Source organism: Homo sapiens, chromosome 8 (assembly GCF_000001405.40).
Source record: "Homo sapiens chromosome 8, GRCh38.p14 Primary Assembly".
NCBI lineage: Eukaryota > Metazoa > Chordata > Mammalia > Primates > Hominidae > Homo > Homo sapiens.
In genome coordinates this window covers 112,712,016-112,739,542 of record NC_000008.11, presented here as the reverse complement: position 1 = coordinate 112,739,542, position 27,527 = coordinate 112,712,016, and the positions used below count along the sequence as shown (strand labels likewise).

Genomic DNA, 27,527 nt, shown 5'->3' with positions numbered 1-27,527 from the left:
GGAAATGCCAAATTGAATTTGTTCTCATTGTTTCTTCCTGCACAAACAACGAATTTTACAGGATGCATGAATTAAAGAAGTACCAGTAAAAACTATTTGTGGAAATAATGGCAAACTGAAGAGTGCAGGGTGCTCTAGGTTTATGGCCTTAATAAGGAGGTCAGCCACTATTCATCCATGACTGTAATGGGATGAAGGAAAAGCAGATTTGAAGTCAAATGCATTTCTTATGGAAGAATAGGAAACTGCAGAAAATTATATATGAAAGCTCAAGAAAACACAAGATATTAAGGAGAGAATTAGAACTGTTGATTTATTTAAATAAATATAGAATTTCAAAGAGTGGGTTTTCTATTTCAAATTCTATTATTTTTTAACATTCATGGTTACAAAATACTTTCTTAATTATGTTAACCTTTCGCCCTTACACTCAGTGTTTTTATCATATAATCATTTTTATTTTACTTGGATATATCTAGCTAATTTTTATAACCTTTATTTCCTGAACCTTTGCAAGCTTGCAGTATAGAACTATTTCCAGAAGGATATTCAATTACTATATATTCAGTAAGTGAATAATGAAATGATAGAAAGTCTTAATACTTCAAGATAAAGGGCACTGGAAAAAATTCCATTTAAATTCAATCCACTTAAAACTGTCCAGAATTCTGCAATAAGTGGTGAATGAAAATAACTACACAAGACTTTTATCTTAAAAATAAATAAAATTCATTAAAATAAAGTTATTGCTTTTTATTTTAGACAGAATTTAAGTTTTAATTGCAATGGTAAAATTGTTCTTAAAATACGCAAAGAATGAGTTAAGTGCTGATTTGTCCTTTTGGGCATTTTTTTGACAAAATTTTATTAGGTGCATTACAACATCTTTCCTCTCATGTTTGACTTGCATAGCATGATTATATTGAGAACCATTTTTTTCTGAGAAATATTTAAGGATTTCCCCTTTTCCCAAGGGTCTCTCAAATCTTTGAAATTAAAATATTTCTCTTCTGAAGTACCTAGCATGACATAATTCTTTTGAAAGATTTATAAAATTGCATTTGCAAAATATCGTGCACTAAATTGGCTCACATGTATTGGTCTACTTGCATAATAATTATTATATAAATAGTTCATTAGTGAATAATTTCATATCTGATTTTGTTTTGTTATGTGAATGTTATTATTGAACACTTACATACCAAGGACCTTCCTGAATAATTCGGTAAAACAGCTGCGTCTTTGACATTCCACCACTTCGAAAGGATTATTTAATCAATCTTTGAGATGCAGACTTCAACTTTATAAAATGAATGGTTAGGCATTTAAAAATTTCTTTGATTTTCTAATTCAAAAAAGCCCTCAGAATGCCATATAAGCATACTTATGGATCCCTGAAATATTTCTTCCCCCCACCTCTCTGCTTATATCTGCATCAATGACACCATAATCTATAAACCAACGTCAGGTCTTATCACTGTGTGCTTACATGTTCTTTACTGATCAAGACTATTTTTCACCTAGCTGTCAATCAAACTATCATCAGAATGTAATCACAGTTCTAAAAATAAATGAGTTTAGGTAATGATTTACATTAATAAATAATCTACTTGGGACACTAAGTGTTTTCATTTGCAATCGTAGAAATGTAAGCTGGAGTAATGGATTCATAAACTCACTATTTGGAAAGATCAAAAGGGGTTTTTCTTCATTGTTACATTTCGGAATTGTATAAATTCTGAATTGCAGGTAAAGCTTCCTTTAGAATTGTAGGCATCAGTCCTAAGAAATCAGGGTCAGCTGTTATGTTGTCCAGATTTGTTTTTAGCACATTCAGCCACTTACGATCTCATCACAACCACTGTTCTTTTTTATCATTGTTAAGGTGACAATATGATTTATTGTTCAAACCAGGACACTTCTGAGAATGATATGGGATGCTATTAATGACTCCAATCACACAATGGGCATAAACTGGAACTGTCCAGGGCAAACCAGGACTTATGGTCTCTAGTCACAGTACTTTTTCTTTAAAACTTCCATACCAACAACCTCTATCCTTCACCTTCCAGGAAAATCTGCCTTTAGGTACTAATCACTTTAAAATGTCAAACACCTGTAAGTAATCAAAATATCACCTCTGTGAAAGTCTTAGTGATTTTAACAAAAACTTAAAGCCTTAAAGAGATGAAGCTCTAGTTTGGATTGTTCCAAACATCATCCAGAGATGGTGCTGAAATGGTGCTAATTAAATGCTTGCTACTCCAGCTGTTAGTAAATTTAGTATCCTGACAAGGTCTCAAAAGTGTAAGTTTCTGGAGAAAATATATTGTGTTATATATGTTGTATTCTTTTATCTATAATTGCCCACTCTTTACCTTCAAGTAAATTGTGCTAAGTACAGAAAGCCATCTGATGGCTTATCCAATTAGTTATTTGTACCTTATCTCAAATTTTATGTCTCTCTCAGATTTCTTTCTCTCTGAAGGTTGCCTCAACTTTTCTAAAGTGAGCACGGAGATAAATATTAACAATATTAAAGTACTTTACAAGCATTTTAAAGATAAAACCAACAATTAAAATAGCAAAGCAGTACAATTTTACAAAGCTGGCTCAGCTATTTCTGTGAACCTATTAGATGAAAATGTTCTAATTTCTGTCAGGGCAGTATACGCTGATATAGATCCAGAGATTTTCTCCCATTGTTCCCTAAGAAAAATATATTAATCGATTGAGTGATTCATTCATTCGTTCATTCATTTATTCATCAGGATTTATTACAGTCTAGCACTACACCAGAAATACAAAATGAAAGGAGACATGGTTTCTATCTCACAGCCCAGCAGGAAAGATAAATACACAAACATGGAATTACAATATTATAGATTTAACTAAAACTCTATAGAACAGCAAAGATAACACCAAAGAACATTAAAAAGGACTTCTTCATCTGGGAAAGCTTCAAAGAGTTCATAGATTAGGGGAATCCTGAAGCATGAGTGAGCATTTGCCAAGCAGTGAAATGGAGAAATGTTACTGCAGACTATGAGAGTTCACATTAAAGCATGGAAGCACAGAAGAGAATGTGGTATCCTAAAGATTGTGAGCAGCTGCATGCAACCAGAACAGGAACCCATTGTGTTCTGAGAAAGCCTGTCAAGGCAGGAGGTCAGAGCATGATTAAACCTAGATAACATGGGAAGGGGATTTTAGCTGAGTTACCAGGAACCAACAAAGGTATTTTTGAAGAACAGTCATAATCAAATTTTAACCCAGAAAACTAACTCTACTGGCAGTGTGGAAAGCATTTGCAGAAATACACGGGGGAAACTTGAGGGCCTAATGAAAGTCCATCAATGACAAGGAAGTTGGCATTTAACTAATCAAAAAGCAACAGTGAAAGTATTTATTCATTCAGTCTACATATATTTTATACTTACGTGCCAAATATTGTGTTAGCTAGTGAGCATCCAAACATGAACTAGGCTCCTAAAGTATAATTTAAACAGAAGAGGACTTGGACACAGCTCTCTCTATATAAAACTGAAAATTGAAATATGATTTCTGTTTTCTACCTAACATGATTCTTGAGATGTATAATTAAAAATTTTAGATTTTGATGATGATGCATGAATGAGAATTTACATTGAACTTGTCTATCTTGGGCCACAAATAATTCCCATCTAAAGAATCAAAGATGGATTGATAAGTCAATAAAAACAGTAAAAAAAAAGTGTTATATTGTTCTGGGGAGATCTTTTCATAAAGTGAGATTCTCACAGTGATCAATATGAGAATGACGTTGCCTGAAACATGTATTTTTCTGACATGATATTGACCTGAAAGACCAAGGCCTCCCTTTGAAAGGGATAGCTGATCTCAAGTTTCAAGCACTTTTTAGCAAGCTGCAGGGATCAGCAAGTATTATTTGTCCTCTCTTTCACCTGGACTGTAAGTGTCTTGTGAGGAAGAATTGTGTCTTTATCTTTGTGTATTTCCAGTCTAGAACACAATACTGGAACATAAAATTATAAGTTTGTCAAATAAAACTAAGATAACTGGGTATCTGAGAGATGAATACAGAATACTTTCAATTAACACTTATGTGGTAACCTCTGATCTAAAATATTTTTTATCATTAGTAAGATCAGGAACTCCCACTGGGATCTGATACACTCAAGTTGTTTATTTACAGGGTGGTTTTGAGGTATGAAGTAACAAACTTATACCTAATTTTCTGCTCTGCTCACATTGTGCTCTACTGACTTCAGAGTTTTCAATGTTTGTATGTTTTGATTCTCAATAGTCATTAAATAACCAACTTCAGCTCATACTTCGCTATATACAGAACAAGCCAGATTGGTAGAGTAATTGAGATCTTTCAATATACATTATTTTTATTATTTCATTTAAGAATTTGTCTCAGAGTTGGACACTTTTGTCCCAATATCCAAACAATCTTTTGGATATTGTTTTTAAAATTAATCTTTAAATTCATGTTCTCTGCTACAATCAAAGGGACTTTCAAAACAAGAGACAAATAGAGATAGTCCAATGAGCTCTTCCTACTACGTCTTTCTATTGTTACAAATGGGGGCACCTTTCCCTGTGCAGCCTTTTGCTTGGGAAGCTGTAAAAAGTACAGAAAAATGAGTATGATAGAAGGAAGTACTTTCTTAAGGATGTTTTTTCTCTTATGAATTGCCATTGCAAATATATCTTCAGAAATTTCATATCACTTGACACCTATTCTTATATAGCATTTATCAAATGTAACTTATTCACATTTACAGTTAATAATTTAAACATAAAATATTTAAAGATAAAAAGCAAAAAATCAGTGGAATTTCAGTTCATGCATTATTAGAATTTGAATAATAATAATTCCTAAAAATGTATTGAGTACTTCTTACCTGTTAAGCACCCTTCTTATTTTCAATATTTCCTGACAAAAATCTTTACAAATTCAGCCCCGATTAGAAGAACTAATGTTATATCATTTCTCTGAGACAAAAGTCTCACAAAAAATTGATGTGTAAATATTAATCTTAATTCTGCAGCAGAAATTTTTCTTTTTGATTTTTAGGAAATATGACAGCTCTCCCAACACTTAAAATTTTTTTGTAACCTTCTGAATTGACTTTTTGCCAATTTACTAGTGTTTAACAATGACCTTAACTCATAACCACTCCATTGTTCTTCTTTCCTTCATCTGTTAAAGAGAAATTTAACATCCTCCTCTCTCCCTCTTTTCTCTCTCTCTCCCTTCCTCTCTCCCTTTCTTCTTCCTTTTTTCCTTCCTCCTCTTCTTTCTCTTTCAAAACTGTTGGCACCGATGTATATATATATTTTTAACTTTAAATTATAATGTTAATTCATTTAATCCTCCCTGCCATTCTCAAATGGCCAACTTCTTTTGTTTAATGTTTCTTTTTAAGGTCTAGCTTTTATTGCATTTGTCTTACTCTTCAATATAATGTGTTTCTAACTCCTTCCAGGGATTTGGTAATTTGGCAGTCTTCCATCTAGCTTCCCTAAGCAATATCAAAAGAAAACCCTTGGAGGATAATAATGATTAAATGTCCAGACTGCATACATTTTCTCATGTCCATAGCACTCTGGAGAAATTAATTAAGTCTCACAGCACCTGTCTGAGGTATTATTATTATTATGTATGTTTTACATATGCAAACTTCAACACAGACATTATGTGTTGCCCAAAGTCAAAGAAAAGTGTTATTTTTATACTGAGATTAGCATTTAATTATTATGGTTTAAAGTCAGTCCTCTTCCTTTGCTATATCTCTCTCACTGGTCTTTTTCTTACTAGAACTAACATAATTGCATTATCATATTGACTAAAAGGTCCTTTCAAAATACAATGTTTAATAAAAGTTGTAAATGCATGTATTCTTATGGTTTTTATTACATCAATATCAGTTACTATCTAACTTACAAATTACTTACCTTTATATTTATGTCTGTAGTTTTTCTTATCAAAGTTGCTTAACCCATTTTTGCATAATTAAGCTTTATACTTATTTTCAATTATGCAATCTATGTTTATAAATACTGAGTTTCCTAATTAGCAGTTTTATTGACATTACATAGATGCACTTTTTTCATTAAAGACTTTACTTAATGTTAATTTAAAAAAAAAAACTAACAAGCACTTATGTGAAAAAGTGGTACATTCAAATTCTAATTTATTTAGCCAAAACAAAAATCTAAACACACTTTTAAGTAGTAAAATAAAGTATGTGTCAATATGATGCTTAATTCGTCTAGCGTGGTGATTATGCCTGTTTTTTCATTTTACAATTTTGTTGAATAAGGGGGAAGCCAGTCATGATTCTTAGAGGAAGAGCTATTATTATTTTATTAGGCATAATATTGTTTGCTATGGCTACTCTCCAAATATTTCATAATAGGGAGGTGGAATCATTCTTATTGAGGACTGGTTGGTGAAAACAAAAGGTCTAACATATTATTAAATGAAAGAGGTCAACATAAAAATTATTGTGTGTTTTAAAAATACATTTTAAAAGACATTCTGCTCTTAGATCAAGTTAAGTTGAAATAAATTGTGTTTACTTTTCATATTGCATTTAGTCTGTTGTAACATATAAGTTTGGTAGTTGTGATTAACCACATATTAGGTTACACTGGTAATTTTTAATATTTCTTTTGATTGCCAGATTTTATGCAATTAAGTTTTACTGTCAAGTGAAGACTGAATTAAAATAATTTGTGGGAATAATTACTGTTTGACATCAGGAATTCTAAAATAAGTCTATTCGGACAATATCTATTCTTTTCTTTTTTCTTTTTTTTTTTTTTTTTGAGATGGAGTCTTGCTCTGTCACCCAGGCTGGAGTGGAGTGGCATGATCTTGGCTCACTGCAACCTCTGCCTCCCAAGTAGCTGGGATCACAGGCATGCACCACCATGCCCAGCTAATATTTTGTATTTTTAGTAGAGACGAGGTTTCGCCACGTTGGCCAGGTTGGTGTCAAACTCCTGACCTCAAGTGATCCTTGCACCTCGGCCTCCCAAAGTTCTGGGATTATAGGCATGAGCCACCACACCCAGCCACGATATCTATTTTTAATTCATGTCTTCTCAAATTAATATAATTAAACAATTACAGAATGAAAAGGAAACAAAACCACTATCAGTTAGTGAACACTAACCCATTTTAACAAATAAGCATTCTCACTCCCTTCCCATCTTAGTTAAGAGAGACAACTTAACTGTTTGTGGGCTATCTCTGTGTTAAGTTAGTTTATGCTGATAGTTTACTTCCTTAGCATCTTGAAGGCAAGAGAATAATCATGAATCCTCTCTTGTTTCTCTTGCAGTGGTGTGGTCTCTAGAGTATAGCTGAGTATCAATGCAACCTGAAAATACAAATGCATGAGCAATATTTACATTGTTTCTGCTATTGTCATCACTCCACACACACACACATACATACACACACACACACTCACACAATGCCTTTTAAATTAATCAACACGACTAGACCTTTCATGCGCTGGCCCTGAATCAGAATTATGATGTTGCTGGCATAGACAAGGAAACATTCCAAATACATTTTTGCCTGTCTGGAAAATCCTATTAATCACTTTATAGAACTGACTCCTACTGTTGATATAATATATCTTTCAAAATTGACAGTTTTCTTTCAATAATATACCTTGTAGATTTACTTTATATTATATAGCTGCCTTTAATCCTGATAATTGAATTCAGTGAACAAATACTCATTGAGCATATTACTGCAAATTGTTCACCAAAGAAGTAAAAAGGGTATATTTTTCTGAAACAAAAATCTCCTGGGAAAATCACATATCAAGCTCTGAAATACACTGTGGCAAATGCAATAAGGATTGGCATTTGATATTACCCTACAGTACTATAAACAAAAAGCAGGTTGGGGATGCATATTTAGAAGAGTTACAAAAGAAGATTGTAATCAGTAAGAAAATACAAAAATGTAAGTCAAGAAGAACATTTAAAAGTTAATTTATCTAAAATCCATGTTCATAAATGGCATTACTCAACTTGTAAGTCTTTGATGGTTTACTGCTAGCATGAAAATCCATACTGATGGAAGATAAAGCATCAGTTGTAGGAAACCAAGATTTTAATTCACATAATACAGATGCAGAATTCAATATAGTTGCACAGATTCTCTATGCTATTTGATGTCATTACTATGGTATGACCTTTCTCATTTTTTAAAAAATGACTATCACTTGTGGACGTAGTCATGACAGAAATTCAGTATATAAGGAGAATTTGTTGCACTTACTTTCCTTTTAGTGTAGATCTATCCTCTTAAAATGAAATTATCAGCAACATTGATGTGGTAGTCTTAGAGAAAACTATTAGATATCTGAAATGTGTACTTCATATGTCACAAAAACAATAATAATAACAATGCTACTCCAACTAGATTAATTCAAACAAAGGACTTTTTAAAATTCTCTGAACAGCTAAATAATTAAAGGGTCAGAGAAACCTTAATTTGGTGTTTAAATTACAGACTGGGAGTTGTTTGTTTGCTTTCATTCTTTGCATACATTTCCTTAGCATCATGACACTCTTAGGTACGTTCTCCCGTGTGGTTTCAAGAGCACTGTGAACAGTTTCCTGGGATACAGTTGTCTGGATTTATTTCCAGCTGGAAATAGTACACCCACTTCGTTTATAGCTCAAGAGCAAGCCCTAAATTGATCTAATTTGCTTGACTTGTGTTTCGTGCCCATCACAGAATCATTGCATGACAAGGAAAACAAAAAAAACAATTGATCTGGCCTCTTAAGCAGGTACACAGTCAGGTTGAAGGGGTGTTGGTGGTGCAGTCAGCTTTGGTTGAATACCGTGAGCAAGTTGAGAAAACGGGGTTTTCCCATATCAACATCAGGGTATGGTTGCATGAAAAAGAGGGAATTAATGCTAGGAAGATTTTTTAAGCCCAAACAAATGAAGTAAATATTCAAAACTTAATATTGTCAAACTACTGCAAGCTATATAGCTAAATACATGTTACAAACATAGATGAAGACAGTGCATATGAAAACTCTAACATCTATGTCCTTCACCTACTCACTTCCAACTATTTTCCATCATGCTAGCTTGACCATGTATGAAATAATGACAATCTTTATCATCATCAGTAATTCTATTTCTTGTGACATTTCCACTAGCGACTTCTCAGTCAGTGACCTTAATTCTTTCCTTACAGTTTTCTTATGGTAGTATTTCACAAGATGTGTGCTCAATTTCTTTGAGAAATGCAATCTATATATCCTTTTTAAAAATAATATTTATCACCCTTCCCTTCTCTTTTAAGTCTAGATCCTTGTTTAGTCTTTCATTATAATTAATCTCTTCACAAACAAAAACAAAATGGAAAATGGCTTTCTTTACTGTTTCACTATATCTACAAATATTCCAACCACAATTGAAAGCAAGTATCCTCTTTTCCACTAAATAATTGTACTTCAGATTTATAACTACAAAGCTCAAATGCTAATTTAATACTTCAATAGTATATTTGTTTCTAAGTACACTAGTTTCTTAGTATTTACCACAAACTTGTTGGCTGAAAACAAAAGAAATTTATTCTCTCAGAGTTCTGGAGGCAAAAAGTTTGAAATCTGACAGGGCTGCTCTCCCTCTAGGGGCTTTGTAAAGGGAATAATCAGTTCCTTGCCTCTTCCAGTTTATAGTGGTTGCCCCAGCATTTCTGTCCTAGTGGCCACATCACTCCACTCTCTATTTTGATTGTCTTCTCTTCTGTGTGTCCATATAAGAGAGAGGAAAAAATAATCCCTTTTAAGCAGGTACACTGTCAGGTTGTGATTATTTTTTCCTCTCTCTTTTGTGGACACATGATGTCATTTAGGGCTCACACAGATAATTCAGGATTATCTTCACATACCAAAATCGTTAATTACATCTGCAAAGATCATTTTTCCGAAAAGTTAACATTTGCAAATTCTAGAGATTGACATAGACATCTTTTGAGGGGCCACAGCAAAAATCTTTGTTTCACTTTTTAACGCTATTATTTTATACTTTCTTTTACAATTTCAAATTGCTTATACTCCATCATCATTGACCACTCAAAATCAGCTGATAATCGTGTTTCACACTGTATTAGGAAAATAACAACAATCAGTCAAGAATATTTCAGCTTTTTTCAAAACTGGTACTATCACTACTCTTCTATTGTTCATCCTTCCTGTTAAATGAAAGATTGGCCCCTCCTCCCTCACCCCTGCTCTAAGAACACTCTTGTTCTTTTGCTCTGGATCTCATGCCTTTTCACCTTCTCATTCCTGCACTCTCATTCACTTTTGGTGAGAGTGTACTTTGACAAAATCATCTGGAGATACAGTTTTGCAATATATTAAAACAAACAGAAAAAGTACATAACTTTTGATTCAAAATTTTACTTTCAAAAACTTGTTCCACAGAAATATTCAGCTTAACAAAAATAAAAATGTCAGTTTTTGAAGCATTATTTGTACTATGTAAAATATATATATGTGTGTTTGTATATGTATGTGTATATATGTATATGTAACTCTTAAATTCCCTCAGTTTGCTGATGTCTATTATGTAATGCAATTTTAAAAGTTATTTTAATTTTTAAAAATGAATAATAATTTGTACATATAGATATTGTATGGTGTCCATAATTGCCGAAATAATCAAACAAATATCAGAAGCAGAACTTTACTTATTTGTTTTAAATAGGAGAAATGGCATGCAAATTTATTAATGTGCACGTGGTGAGAACCACAGAGTGATTACTCCCCATTCCTCAATGGAGTTCAGAAACTCATATTCCTTCTTGAAGTTACAGAAAGAATGGGGGCTTGTATCATGGCAAAATACATTATGGGAGGAGGAGAAGAAGGGGCTTGGCTAGCAAAGGTGGTCTTGTTATGTAGAACTTTACTTGTGACACATTTTTGTTCAAAACAACAATAACAGAATATAGGTATGAATAAGGCTGAAAGAGTAAAACTGTTAACAGTCTTCGTTCTCAAAAAGTAGAAATATAGGAGGAAGTTTTGGTTTTGTATATGTCCATTTTGTTTCTAACAATTAACCTCTATTGATATTTACATACATACGTGTATAGATATATAACTTATTTTAATTCTTTATTGTTTTTAGTAAAATTATAAGCATATAAATTACATCTAACTCATATTTTTTTTGTTCAGTGTTTTGGAACTTTATGTTACCTCTGTTTTTATTGTTCAATTTCCTAAGCTATTCATCTAAATAAATTTACTTGAAAAATTTGGTTGTCATAATCAGTTTACTGTCTTGAGAGCACTTTATCTAATCTTAATGAAGGGGAGTTAGAAATCTAGCTGACAAAGCTTTAATTCTTCCCAACAATCTGCATTTTCTATCACATGACTACCCCTAATTAACTATAGTGTTAATGCCTTTTGTCTTTTATGATAAACAACAAGAAAATGCCTGTTGGAAAAGGAAATTAGCATTACACCAGATAATTTCAAATTGTTGCCAATGTAACACAAGAGTTTACAGTCTGGAAAATATGATAAGTCAAATTTTAGACACTAAGATTTAATTATTTGACTTTTTCAAAATTACGCTATGTTTTTTGGTTAATGAAATTACTTCACATAGAATGAATTCACATTTTAAACAGTTTAAAAATGCCATTTAGAATCCGACAGTATTTTACTGTTCCACTTCATTTTGAATAAGATATGGGTAAAATATACTTATTGTAAAAAGTAACATAAAATAGATCAATAATCAATCCTAGATCACAGTAATTGTACTTGTAAAATCACAGATAGTATACAATGACTTTCATATAAAAATGGAAATATTAAGTTTTGATTTTATTCTTTTTAATTAGATATATATATAGGCTGATGGTCAGTATTTTTTAAAAGCCAATTTGCAAACTGAGAAAGAAAATTATGCCATTTAAACTGAAGTCATTAAGAATCTTGAAGCAGTGTGTAACACCCTCCAAGAATAGTCCTTGGGGTTTAAATGCTCACTCACCCTCTTTGTTAGTTTAATTCAACAGAAAATATCTTGTTCACACACTAGACAGAGTTGGAAAGGAGCCATAGAAGATTATGTCCACTCAATAAAATAGACCCTTTATGTTTATGTTGCTTTGCTCATAATCTCATATCTATAGCACTACAACCAATTAATTGCAGTATATTCAGTTTGTGGAAAATCAGACGCAGTTCATGACTTATCTTTTTGATACATTTTTGTTGAGAACTTTATAACTCATCAAAACTTCCCTTAACACAATATATGAAATGTTTACTGTATATGATACAAATCAGGAAAATTCTATAATTATTCAAAATAATTATACATTTGTATAGTTCCAGAAAAATAATAGATTTTAACAGCATATGAGATTTTTTAATATAGTCTGTATTTTTTGTTGTTCAGAAATAAATACCTGAAGAATGAGGCTAAATAAATTTAAGAAGCATAGTCATTTTTGTCTTTATTTTTTAGAATTCTTTGCTTGGTCATGAACTATATTGAGAAATAAAATGAGCTTTAATCAGTCATTTTCTCTTGAATCATATTCCCATTGGTTCTTATATTTACTAATTTGATGTAATATCATTTTGTTGCTTAGTGTTATTGATCAAGCATTAAATCTAATACATTACATCAATAATCAAATTTTCCTTTTTTCCGTATCTTTTTAAAAATTTAATGACGCATCTATAGTATTTGGATTATCTTTCATTACGTTGTTGTTATAACTTTGCAAATAAAGTTATGAGAAAAGGAAGAATTTCAAAATAGGAAAGGCTAAAATCCTGTTGGTTGGATGAGTAATGTCTCTTCTTCCAAAAGACAGCCTAAATCCAAGCTCCATATGTAATTTAACAAACACTGGTCTGAGTATACTATGCACCTAACACTCTGCTTAATACTAGGTTTAGAAAAATATATGATCTTCTCTTTTATATATATACCTTCTCTAACCACCTTCAACTACTTTCTTTGCTAATCCATTTCCTGCTCTTCATAAAATTATCTTTACTACTTGCCAAGTACATAATAATTGGCTAAGTACTTAGAATGCATTCTAAGCTTAGGAGGAAGCAGAGGTGATATGCTAATGTATATCACTGGCCTAGCCTACCTAAACAACAAGCAAGTATATAGTTATTTTTCAGCAGAAAGTAGCAGTCTGCATGCTCAGAGAAATTGATATGGTTATGCTTTGTTTTTCCACCTAAATCTCATCTTCAATTATAATCTCCATAATCCCTATAATCCCCAAGTATCAAGTGAGAGACCAGGTGGAGGTAATTGAATCATAGGATTGGTTTCCCACATACTGTTCTCCTAATATTGAGTGAGCTCTCAAGAGATCTGATGGTTTATAATTTTTTGGTAGTTCCTCCTGCGTTCATTCTCCTTTCTGCCACCTTGTAAAGAAGGTGCCTTGCTTCCCTTTTGCCTTCCGCCATAATTGTAAGTTTTCTGAGGACTCCACAGCCATGCTGAACTGTGAATCAATTAAACCTCTTTCCTTTATAAATTACCCAGTCTCAGGCAGTTCTTTATAGCAGTATGAAAATGGACTAATACAGCATTCATACACAGGTTGCAATCTCATGTTTTCTCCTCTCATGTCTATGTTTCATTTCACCAATAAACAGTTAATAAGAAATAAATACTTTATGGATTGAAATTCAAATTAATTCAAACTTCATAACTTCCGTTTGAGTCACAGTTAATTGGAAAAAAATCCTTCGGATTTTTTCTCTTTGTTCCAAATTAGGTAACAAGTTTTGAGGTACTGTGCATTGATATTATAAGAGCAAATAAAAGCAGTTTCTAGCCAATTCTCCCTTTCATATATACAAAAGTAAAAAAGCCAAGTATATTTCAGTTTGTCTTAGAAAGTCATTTGTAGATGTTATACCACCATGATTTAGAGTTTATTAATTTGGATTGAATCAACTTCCATTTGAACTACTATGGGACAATTTAAAGGAACTAATTAACATTCACATTTCCCTTTAATATGGATTTTATTTTAGATGACATTAACTATATGCCATATCTACTACCAGATCTACACAGGTAGTCAAAATCTTTGCCTGTTTTTGGTGACTTTCTTCCTGTTAATATAACTGAAGTCGCAATGCTTCTATCTAAAGCTACTCCTTTCCACTAGCACACTAAACCCCACTATTTCTAACCTACTCTAAGATTTTAGTTTAGCCAGCCTCCCTTCTTTTTTCTGTTTAGTCATGTTTTCTATCTTTACGGGACTATGATTATAAAAGCATGGATTTATTTCTCCCTTTGTTAAAAAAAGTTGTTTTGACCCCACTTTCCCTGCCAGTTATTGCCATATATTTTTTGCTTCTCTTTGCTGCAAACTTGCTCAAAAGAGTTATTCATCTTTGCTAACTTTGATTTTCCTCTTTCCAGACCCTCCCAAACCCATTGTTCCAAACAGACTTTCACTACTATGGTAACAAAACTTCTTTGGCAAAGTCAAAAATGTTCTCTACATTGCTAAGTCTAATAGTGGATTCTTTGTATACTTTTTACTTGACAGATCAGCAGTATTTATCTTAGCACTAAATGCTCAGTTTTCCTCATTACTTTTATTCGAGGGTTTCAGTTCCTGGTTTTTCTCCTGTCACATTGTTTTCTCCTCTTCTGTCTGATCACTTAATGTTAATGCAACTTCATCATCTTTTTGTCTCTCACATTCACTCCTTCAGCAATAACCTCTGGGTTGCATGATTTTAAATGCCACATATGTATGCAGTCTCACATTTTACACTGCCAGCCCAAATATGCTGCTGGACCTCTAGACAATCCACTGCTTTCTTGAAATCTCTACTTGGACACCTAATTCCCCAAGTTATGTATGCGAATACTTAACTTAATTGATTTTTTACCAAACTGCTTTCCCTAGTCTTCTCCATCTAAGTTAATAGAAATTTCATCATTCCCCTTGCTCAGACAGACATTATTGGGGACATAATTGATTTACCCCTTTCTCTCATCATTTCATGATTTATTAGCAAATTATTTTGGCTTCACTTTGAAAACATGTCTGGAATTCAATCCTTTATCACCACCTCTACTGCTAATATCTTGGTCAACCCACTATCATCAGGCACCAGGATTAAGGCAATAACTATACCTGATTTCTCGTTTCCACCATTTTTCTTTCATTCTCACTCTTCTTCACTTAGACATATTCCTTCCTTAGGGCCTTTCCTCTTATATGTCCATGGCTAACCCCTTCAACTTTTTCATGACTTATCTCAAATGCCATTTTCCAAGGCTGCCTACTTACTCACTATAATAAAAATTGGAACCTATTCACCTCTCCACAGTTACCCTATTCTGCTTCATTTTTTTCATCCATAGCACTTATTACCTTCTAATATTATATAATTTTATTATGTCTGTTTAATATTTTCTGTCTCTCTACACTGAAATATGAATTCCAAAAGGACAGGTATTTTTTTTTTCCAAGGTGGGGAGTGAACGGATGATCTCTCATTTACTGCTATGCCCCGAGTGCCTAGAACAATACATGGCTTAGAGTGGGTACTCAATACATATTTATTAAATAACTGCATTGGTGTGCCTAGTATGTACCATGCTGTGTGCTGTGTTGATTACCTTGCTTAATCTTTTCATGAATTCAATGAAGTAGCTATTTTGTTTCCTCTTGTAGGGATGATAAAACTAGGTCTCCGTGATTTCTAATGTGCCCAAAGTTATGCTGTCAGCATTTAAAGATGGGATTTAAACCTAGGTAGCTTGACTCCAAAGCTTCTGCTTTGAATCCTCATTGTTTCCCATCTTAACATGAGCTAATTATTGCTTCTGAAACACATGTAATGCAGTGTATTGAACTCTGAAAACAAAATTTCTGCTGATAATCATGAAAAATAATAGCCCCACTTCTTGGCAACATAGAAAAGTTACTGTTGTTGACATTTGATTTTGAGAATTTATCTTACGCTTTAATGAAATATATCAACTAAGCCATTTGCTGCCTTCAAGAGTGTGAGATGTGACATGTTAAATCTAATATACTCACCACAAGAACTGGTTTCAAATATAGATGGAAATGCTTGTGAGAAATGTTCTGAACTATTTTGACCCATTGGAGGCACAGTGACAGGATAGTTTCTTCCTTAGGAAATAGGAATAGCATGTGTTCTGTCATTATTGGCAAGAAAATTCATAAGAAAATGAGTAGTCATAATTTTAAGTTAGGAAATCTATAATATCAACATTGGCTTTTCTTTCTGTCTGTGTTAATATCTACTCCAAGCTATGCAAATGATTTTGCATACTTAGGTTAATGATTATTACATTTTAAGATTTTCAGATTTTTGAACTGACAATTTAACACTACGTTTTATCAATACCTTAATGAACAGGTTTTTTTTTTTTTGCTACTTGTCAACAAATGACTAATGTGACCTGCTTGTTACTCACAAAAATATGTCATCTAAAGATTTCTAAAGTGTTAATTTCTGTTTCTTTTTGGGCCTATTATAAATTTAGGAAAATATAATTTCAAAAACCCAACATATTTTGTGATTTTTGATCTTCAGTTACAAGTGAGTCATCTTAATACTCCCACTTAAATTGTGACACATCATATGTTTCATAATTACCATTATTATTTATACACATATTATTTTCTGTAGCTCGTGAATTAATTCCTCATTTTACTGAGTCTTTTATTCCTTGTGTCTATTTTGAAAAGTTTAAAACCTTCAGAAACACTGAAAGAATAAGAAAAAGTATACTTGCATATTCTTCGCTTAGATTCATCAGTTTTTACGATTTTGCCACATTGGCATTCTGTGTTTCACTCTTTCTCCCTCCTACACTACACACACACACACACGCTAACGCACACACAGGCTCGTGTGCATGCACACAGAAACACATCTTTATTTGCTTATTCGTTTATTTTTGCATAACAATTTGAAAGTAGGGTGCAAATACCACGTGCTTTCACCCGTAAATACATAAGCATCTTCTAATCGTAACAACCTTCCCCTAAGTAGCCACAATATCAATATCATGTTTAGAAAATTAACATTCAATCACCAATGTTATCTACTGTACAATCCATTTTCAATATACCCAGTTTGCCCAAAAAGGTCTGGTATAGCCTTTTTTTTTAAAAAACCTAAGATCTAATTAATTTGCACTCATTGCATTTGTTTGTTATGTCTCTTTGGTATCTTTTCCTCTGGAACAGTTCCCTTGCTTTTTTTTTTTTTCTCTTTTCACTGAATTTTTAGCAGAGTTAACACCAGCTGCCTTCTAGATTATCCCAATAATGATTTGTACTGATGATGTATTATTGTGTGAGCTATTTAATATAATTCCCTACACAGCCTTATGTATGGATTTTTTTTTCATATAATGGGCTTAAAAAAAGTGAAGTTACGTCCCCAAATTGTATACATTTTGAAAGCTGCAGAGTAATATTTCAAACACAAGAAGGTCAGATTTCAAAATATGAACTCTAACCAATGCAAGATCCCTGCATCTTGACCAAATCATATTCTTGCATTTGTAGTGTTATTTATTGTTTAATACTGAGAAATGTACATGTGTGTTTTACCTCACACATCAAATATATTAATATCATCCCTTCAAAACTTCTGATGATATTTGGGAGGCTAATCGCTGGTTGTCAAAATGTAGGAAACATTAAAACAAAAATAGTTCTAAGGCCTCACTCGATGTTTCTTTTCTCTACTATCAAATAGTGCCAAAAGCTGACAAAACAGGAATGCATCAAGGAACAATGCATTAGTAAAAGTCTAGACGAGGTATCTTTAGTAGATCAAAAATACAGCTTGTGAAATTGTTATCATTGACAAATACTTGTTTTTCCTTCTCTTTCGTTCTGTCACCCAGGCTGGAGTGCAGCGGCAGGATCTCGGCTCACTGCAAACTCCGCCTTCCGGGTTCAGGTGATTCTCATGCCTCAGCCTCCTGAGTAGCTGGGATTACAGGCCTCCCACCACCATGCCGAGCTAATTTTTGTATTTTTAGTAGAGACAGGGTTTCGCTATGTTGGCCAGGCTGATTTGAAACTCCTGACCTCAGGTGATCCACCTGCCTCGGCCTCCCAAAGTGCTGGGATTGCAGGAATGAGCCACCATGCCCGGCCAATATTTTAACATTTCTAATGTGATTGTTACTGAGGTCAAATAAGTCACATAGATTCAGTTTTTCATGGTGATTTTTCCAATTGTTCACATATCAAAGCTGTCAGCATATATATGATGATTAACAAGTCAAGGAAACATTCTGTAATTGATACTTGTGAGATCTACTACAGGTAAGGCATTGAGCTATTGATCTGAGCAACTCTAATCTAGAGTTGGCATTTAACCATATATATGGACACTAACTTCTTGATAGACCCTGTTCTACTGTTAAAGCACTGTAGGGTCAGAAATGAATTCAGACTTGAACTAGATTTTGTAGAAAGTGAAACAATATATACAGTGAAATTGGGAGATGAGGATACATTCCAAACTGATAATTTCAGAATACTAAAGTCATACAAATTTCTCTTGAAGATTACTCTCTCCCTCTGCTTTCAAATTATTTAATCAAATATGTATAAACAGAAAATATATAAATTTATCTTAGAATATTATCTGTATTCCAAGTATCATTTATCTGAAATCTAGACTGTGAACTCTTTAAGAAGCAACAACATCGTTTATTTATATTGCCAGAATCCGGCACTGTGCTTGGCACGTTGGAAGTTTTAGTGAATGATTGTTGAGCCAATCAGTCACATCCTGGATAGGTACTATGCTGCGGTTCAGAGTGTCACCATCTCAGTTCAGAGTTTACTCCTAGATCTACATGCAAATGAATGTGATTCCTCGCATGTATGTAGGGTCCGTATAGGCCTAGGACAGTTTAAAATATTAAGTTTTGGAAAACGAGCATTTTGTAGGTGAACTATGTGATACTTGGTTTTCACTGTAGAGGATTTTAATATCTTTTGAGGCATAATTTGGGTAGAATGCCTACATATTTGAATTTGTCACATTTGAATGTGACATTCCCCTAACCTGTTGTGTCAGTCAAGGATCAGTTGAAAGCAGGGGAAAAAAAAAGAAAAGAAAAGAAAAGAAAAAAATTTCTAGCATTTTAAGCAGAAAGGGATTTAAACCAAATGAGTTGGTTAACAAATTGTTGCAATGGTTAGAAGAGCAGATGCTAGATCAGGTTTCTAGGAGAGACTATAAGAATAGCAAGAAATAAACTACCAAATGAATGTACCTTTGCCACAGTTAGGTCAGTGGAAATCAAGAAGTTGAGCTTAGCATCAATAAAGACTTCCATTCAAAAATCAGTGCTCTTGAAGTCATGACTGGACAAAGGGATTTGCCTTCAGAGAAACCCGATGACCACGCTTGTCTTCATGACCAAAAGCACAGGAAAGGTGAGAAAGATAGGTTCTTCGTCTCTCTCACTTTTTAAATCTTACCTAATTGACTACATCTAATCCACAGTTAGGAGTCTAGTTGCAAGGGTGTTTAAGAAAAGGATTGCTGTTTCTATGCTTATTTGTTCCTTTAATTTTTTAGTGCTGAAAGATATTTCAAATAAAGTTTGGAATAACTGTTGAATATTAATTCTTCCTAACTACTTCAAATTTACATATAAGACTCTTTGCCAATAGCTTTTTCTGTATTATTATTAATTCCTTTTACTCTTTCAGTCTTCCACCTACTGCTATGGACTGAATTGTGTCCCCCCTAAAATTCATATGTTAAAGCCCTAACCCCCAATATGATAGTATTTGGAGACGGGGCCTTTGAAAAGTCAAGCTCTCATGATGGGATCAGTGCCCTTCTAAGAAGAGACGTGAAATCTCCGTCTGTCTCTCTCTTTTTCCCATGTGAGGATATATCAAGAAGGCAGCCAACTGTGAGCTAGAAAAAGAGCTTTCATCAAAACCAAAGCTGCCAGCACCCCGATCTTAGACTTCTCAGCCTCCAGAATTGTGAGAAATAAATGCCTGTTGTCTAAGCCAAGTCTTAAGTTTAAGCCACTGGGTATTTTGGTGTAGCAGCATAAGCTGAGCAGTGTACCTACTCTTTCTTTCCTTGCCTTTTTGGGGGGCATATTATGTTGCTGACCTTTATACCTTAAATTCTAATTTATCTTCTGGAAAATAGTCATAACTTTTACTTAGTCTTCTAATCTGACCGAAAATAGTCATAACTTTTACTTAGTCTTCTAATCTGACCTCTAATTCTCTTGCTGTTACCCATGGCAGCAAAATACAGTATTTATATATTTCTAGATCATTTACTTATGTTTTGTCTAATGAAATTTTTTTACATGAAGTTTGATATAACAAATGTGGTTTTTGATTTGATAGTTGATTTGTTCTTATATCAGAATAATGTCTTCAATAAATTCAGAGTGAATTTATACAGAAAAATGCTTTCTCTTCATTTGACAGGTGTACAGTTTTAAATCTTTTACACAGAGCTCAATACTAATCTCCACCTAATAAATAGATTTAATTTAAGCTTAAGAAGTTTTTATTTTAAATTACCTACTATGTCCCAGGCACTGTGTTAGGTAATGGGGCTGAGAAGACAAAATAGACAAGGTTCATACATCTATACACCTTCAGATAAGTGGGGACAGGTACATATAAATAGGTTATTTTAATACGTGCTCAGAGCAAACAGAAATGATTTTCTAAAAATAAGGGGTACTGTAAAAGCAGTCCAAGGATAGACACCTTACATAAGTCCTAAAAGATAAATAGGAATATTCAAGGTGAAGTAGTTAAAAGTCTAAATTACAAATATTTAAAATTAAATTGTTTTGTTTTGTGATACTTTTCTCTTGCATTATTATGCATATTACTATCATCCTTTATGCATATATATATATATATATATACATATATATACACACACATAGGCATTAGAACAGGAATTGTTCATATAAAACACTGAAGAGAGAATGAAATAGTTCAAGCTTTGCCTATCAAAGTGTGATTTTGAGTTGAGTTGAGTTGAGTTGAGAAGACAGGCTTGAAAGCCAGCCTTTGTCAGAGAAAAATGAATTTCATGAATTCTTCATTTATTATGAAACCTCTCAAGAATAAAGTACTCATATTATAGAGTATCCTTCATAGTATATAGAAGAGACAGCCTTTATACGTGTGCAATTTAGATCTTCAGGCTCACTACAAAACAGGAGGAGAAAAATACAAAACTAGAGGAAATGAAAAACCTATAGCCAGAACCACCATGAGCCTGAGGATTATGCAAAGAAATAATATGGTGGTACTTACTTCTTTTCTCTCACTAGAGTCTATTTTTTATTATTTTTTATTTTACTTTAAGTTCTGAGATACATGTGCAGAACATGCAGGTTTATTACTTAAGTATACGTGACCCATGGTGGCTTCCTGCACCTATCAACCCATCATCTAGGTTTTAAGCCCTACATGCATAAGGTATTTGTCCTGATGCTCTCCCATTCCTTGCCCTCCACCCCCTGACAGGCCCTGGTGTGTGTTATTCCCCTCCCTGTGTCCATGTGTTCTCATTGTTCAACTCCTACTTTTCAGTGAGAACATGAGGTGTTTGGTTTTCTGTTCCTTTGTTAGTTTGCTGAGGATGATGGTTTCCAGCTTCATCCATGTGCCTGCAAAGGACATGATCTCATTCCTTTTTATAGCTGCATAGTATTCCATGGTGTATATGTACTACATTTTCTTTATTCAGTCTATCATCAATGGGCATTTGGGTTGGTTCCACGTCTTTGCTATTGTAAATAATGCTGCAATAAACATAGGTGTTCATGTGTCTTTATAGTAGAATGATTTATATTCCTTTGGGTATATACCCAGTAATGGGATTGCTGGGTCAAATGGTATTTCTGGTTCTAGATCCTTGAGGAATTGCCACACTGTCTTCCACAATGATTGAATTAATTTACATTCCCAACAACAGTGTAAAAGCATTCCTATTTCTCCACAGCCTCGCCAGCATTGTTGTTTCTTTTTAATAATCGCCATTCTGACTGGCAAGAGATAGTATCTCATTGTGATTTTGATTTGCATTTCTCTAATGAGCAGTGATGTTGAGCTTTTTGTCGTGTGTTTGTTGGCCACAAAAATGTCTTCTTTTGAGAAGCATCTGTTCATGTCCTTCACCCGCCTTTTATGGGGTTGTTTTTTTTTTCTGATAAATTTGTTTAAGTTTCTTGTAGATTCTGGATATTAGACCTTTGTCAGATGAATAGATTGCAAAAAATTTCTCCCATTTTTTAGGTTGCCTGTTCACTCTGATGATAGTTTCTTTTGCTGTGCAGAAGCTCTTTAGCTTAATTAGATCCCATTTGTCAATTTTAGCTTCTGTTGCAATTGCTTTTGGTATTTTCATCATGAAATCTTTACCCATGCCCATATCCTGAATGGTATTGCCTAGGTTTTCTTCTAGGGTTTTTATGGTTTTACATTTAAGTCTTTAATCCATCTTAAGTTAATTTTTGTATGAGGTGTAAGGAAGGGGTCCAGCTTCAGTTTTCTGCATATGGCTAGCCAGTTTTCCCAGCACCATTTATTAAATAGGGAATTCTTTACCCATTGCTTGCTTTTGTCGTGTTTGTAGAAGATCAGATGGTTGTAGATGTGTGGTGTTATTTCTGAAGTCTCTGTTCTGTTCCATTGGTCTATATTTCTGTTTTGGTACCTGTACTATGCTGTTTTGGTAATCGTAGCCTTGTAGTATAGTTTGAAGCCAGGTAGCATGATACCTCCTGCTTTGTTCTTATTGCTTAGGATTGTCATGGCTATACGGGCTCTTCATTGGTTCCACATGAAATTTAAAGTGGTTCTTTTTGTCATTATGTGAAAAATGTCAATGGTAGTTTGATGGGAATAACATTGAATTTATAAATTACTTTGGGCAGCATGGCTATTTTCACACTATTGATTCTTCCTATATATGAACATGGAATGTTTTTCCATTTGTTTGTGTTTTCTCTTATTTCCTTGAGCAGTGGTTTGTAGTTCTCCTTGAAGAAGTCCTTCACGTTTCTGTTAGCTGTATTCCTAGGTATTTTATTCTCTTCGTAGCAATTGTGAATGGGAGTTTATTCATGTTGTGGCTCTCTGCTTATCTATAGTTGGCATATAGAAATGCTTGTGATTTTTGCACGTTGATTTTGTATCCTGAGACTTTGCTGAAGTGCTTATCAGCTTAAGGAGTTTTTGGGCTGAGACAATGGAGTTTTGTAAATATAAAATCATGTAGTCTGAAAACAGAAACAATTTGACTTCCTCTCTTCCTATTTGAATACCCTTTATTTCTTTCTCTTGCCTGATTGCCCTGGACAAATCTTCCAATACTATGCTGAATAAGAGTGGGAAGACAGTGCATCTTTGTTTTGTGCCAGTTTTCAAAGGGAATGATTCCAGCTTTTGCCCACTCAGTGTGATATTGGCTGTGGGTTTTTCATAAACAGCTCTTATTATTTTGAGATATTTTGCATGAATATCTAGTTTATCAAAAACGTTTAACAATTGGGGATGTTGAATTTTAGCAAAGGCCTTTTCTGCATCTATTGAAATAATCATGTGGTTTTCGTCATTGGTTATGTTTATGTGATGGATTACATCTGCCGGTTTGTGTATGTTGAACCAGCGTTGCATTCCAGGGATGAAGCCGACTTCATCATGGTGGATACGCTTTTTGATGTGCAGCTGGATTCAGTTTGTCAGTATTTTATTGAGGTGTTTCACTTCGATGTTCATCAGGGATATTGGACTGAAGTTTTCTTTTTTTGTTGTGTCTCTGCCAGGTTTTGGTATCAGGATGATGCTGGCCTCAAAAAATGCATTAGGGAGGAGACTCTCCTTTTCAATTCTTTGGAATAGTCTCAGAAGGAATGGTACCAGCTCCTCTTTGTACCTCTGGCAGCATTTTGCTGTGAATTTGTCTTGTCCTGAGATTTTTTTTGGTTGGTATGATGTTAATTACTGCCTAGATTTCAGAACTTGATGTTGGTTTCTCAGGGATTTGACTTCTTTCTGGTTTAGTTTTTGGAGGGTGCATGAGTCCAGGAATTTATCAATATCTTTTAGATTTTCTAGTTTATTTGCACAGAGGTGTTTATAGTATTCTCTGATGGTAGTTTGTATTTATGTGGGGTCAGTGTGTCATTTTTATTGTGACATTTTTTATTGTGTCTATTTGATTCTTATCTCTTTTCTCCTTCATTAGTGTAGCTAGTGGTCTATCTATTTTGTTAATTTTTTCAAAAACCAGCTCATTGATTCATTGCTTTTTTTGAAGGGTTTTTTGTGCCTCTATCTCCTTCAATTCTGCCCTGAATAATTATTTTTTGTCTTCTGCTGGCTTTTGGATTTATTTGCTCTTGTTTCTCTAGTTCTTTTAATTGTGATATTAGGGTGTTGATTTAAGATCTTTCTAGCTTTCTGATGTGGGCATTTAGTGTTATAAATTTCCATCTAAACACTGCTTTAGCTGTGTCCCAGAGATTCTGGTATGTTGTCTCTTTATTCTCATTGGTTTCAAAGAACTTCTTGATTTCTGCCTTAATTTCATTATTTTTAACCAGGAGTCTTTCAGGAGCAGGTTATTCAATTTCCATGTAGTTGTGTGGTTTTGAGTGTTTCATAATCCTGAGTTCTAATTTGATTGCACTGTGGTCTGAGAGACTGTTTTTTATTATTTCAGCTTTTTTTGCATTTGCGGAGGAGCTTTACTTCTAATTATGTGGTTGATTTTAGAATAAGTGAGATGTGGCACTGAGAAGAATGTATATTCCATTGATTTGGGGTGGAGAGTTCTGTAGATGTTGATTAGGTCCACCTGATCCAGAGCTGCTTTCAAGTCCTGAATATCCTTGTTAATTTTCTGTGTTGTTGAACTGTCTAATATTGACAGTGGGGTGTTAAATCTCTGACTATTATTGTGTGGGAGTCTAAGTCTCTTTGTAGGTCTCTAAGAACTTGTTTTATGAATCTGGGAGCTCCTGTATTGGGTACATATATATCTAGAATAGTTAGCTCTTCATATTGAATTGATCCCTTTACCATTATGTAATGCCTTTCTTTGTCTTTTTTGATCTTTGATGGTTAAAAGTCTGTTTTGTCAGAGAGTAACATTGCAACCCCTGCTTTTTTTTTTTTCTGTTCATTTGCTTGGTAAATTTTTCTCCATCCTTTTATTTTGAGCCTGTGTGTGCCTGTGCACATAAGATGGGTCTCCTGAATACAGCACACTGATGGGTCTTGACTCTTCATCCAATCTGCCAGTCTGTGCCTTTTAATTGAGGCATTTAGCTCATTTACATTTAAGGTTAATATTATTATGTGGGAATTTGATCCTGTCATCATGATGCTGTCTGGTTATTTTGCCCACTAGTTGATGCAGTTTCTTCATAGTGTCTTTGTATTTATATTTTGGCATGTTTTTCCAGTGTCTGGTACTGGTTTTTCTTCCACTATTTAGTGCTTCCTTCAGGAGCTCTTGCAAGGCAGGCCTGGTGGTGACAAAATCTCTCAGCCTTTGCTTGTCTGAGATGGAGGTTATTTCTCCTTCCCTTATGAAGCTTAGTTTGGCTGGATATGAAATTCTGGGTTGAAAATTCCTTTCTTTTAAGAATGTTGAATATTGGTCCCCACTCTCTTCTGGCTTGCAGGGTTTCTGCTGAGAGATCTCTTGATAGTTTGGTGGGCTTCCACTTGTAGGTGACCTGGCCTTTTTGTCTGGCTGTCCTTAACATTTTTTCCTTTATTTCAACCTTGGAGAATCTGATTGTGTATCTTGGGGTTGATCTTCTCATGTAGTACCTTAGTGGTGTTTTTTGTATTTCCTGAATTTGAATGTTAGCCTCTCTTGCTAGGATGGGGAAGTTCTCCTGGATAATATCCTGAAGTGTGTTTCCAACTTGGTTCCATTCTCCCCATCTCTTTCAGACTCTCTGATCAATAGTAGGTTCGGTCTTTTTACATAGTCCCATATTTCTCGGAGGTTTTGTTTGTTCCTATTTATTTATTTATTTATTTATTTATTTATTTTCTAATCTTGTCTGCCTGCCTTATTTCAGCAAGATGGTCTTCACGCTCTAATATTCTTTCTTCCACTTAATCAATTCGGCTATTGATATTTGGGCTCACGAGTGGGATCTTCTGATCTGTGGGTTTCACAGTTCCATGGAAAAAGCACAGTTTCCCAGACTAGGTAGCACACTCACTGCCTCCCTTGGCTAAGGGGTGGGATCTCCCCTGCCCCATGTGGCTCTCAGGTGGGCTGCTGCACCACACTGCTCTTCCTTTCTCTCTGTTGGTCATGCCAGCCACCTAGTCAGTCCTGTTGACAACCTAGATACCTGGATATTGGTTGCTGGTGCTGGATTTGCATACTGTTTTGGTTCTTTTTGATGGGTGCCTCCAATCGCTGCTTCTTCTAGTAAGCCATCTTGGCCCTGCCCCTTAGAATCTATTTTTAAGGACAGACTAATAACCAGCTTCCCCAAATGTTGAGTTGGGTGTCCTGAAGGAAGTCTGCAGCACCTAAGTAAGTTCAGTTTTCCATTCAATATGTCATGAGAGAAACTTCAGGCTCTTTTTTTTTTTTTTTATTTTTGATTCTACACAGTCTTGGCATGTCAAGGGATTGTGGTAATTCTTACCTGTCTTAATAATTAGATGCAGAATTCCTTGTAAGACTTATGGACTAGCAAATATTCAAGATTAAAAGACTACAAGGCACAAATGTCTTAATGCCTCGATCCTTAAGATTCCGAATATACCCCAAAAGTCAAAACCAGAATAATTACATTTGACAACTCATCAGTCCAAGGAAAATATTAATCCAGTTACTCTACATCAGCAGTGACAGTAAAATCAGAGAACTTCCATCCTACAGTTGCGGGGCCTCCTGTCCTGACAATCTCCTCACTGTCCCATAAATCCAACCCTGTGTATAACCATTTTAAAAAGGAACAGGAGTAGGTGAGTAATTAACATGAATCAACCACTTACACGGTAAAAAGATCTGTTTAATAGAAACTAAATTACCTCAAGATTACTTAAATTTTTGAATCAGACTACATTTACCAAATTGAAGTAAAATTTTAATTACCCCTTCTCCCAACTTACAAGGTGTTTTTTATTGTTGTTTGTTGGTTTGATGTCAAGTTAACATTTCCTTGAGGATCCTGCTCTTCATAGTGGGTCTTCTTAAGCTCACAGTTTCAGCTCTGAGAACATTTGTGGTGGTAGATGAGAGTGGCACAACACTGGAGGAGAGGTCAATAGTATCTGAGGTCTGTAGTATCACTGACTTGCACACAGAGTGTCACAGATTTTACAGTGTTTCTCAGTTACTCTTGCATCTCCTATCAGGCCATAAGCATAT

General features: G+C 34.1%; 1 protein-coding gene across 9 annotated transcripts in view; it reads left to right on the top strand.

The window, feature by feature from the left end:
- CSMD3 (CUB and Sushi multiple domains 3) overlaps positions 1–27,527 on the top strand; it is a 1,214,012-nt gene that overhangs the window by 697,397 nt on the left and 489,088 nt on the right. The window lies entirely within an intron of this gene.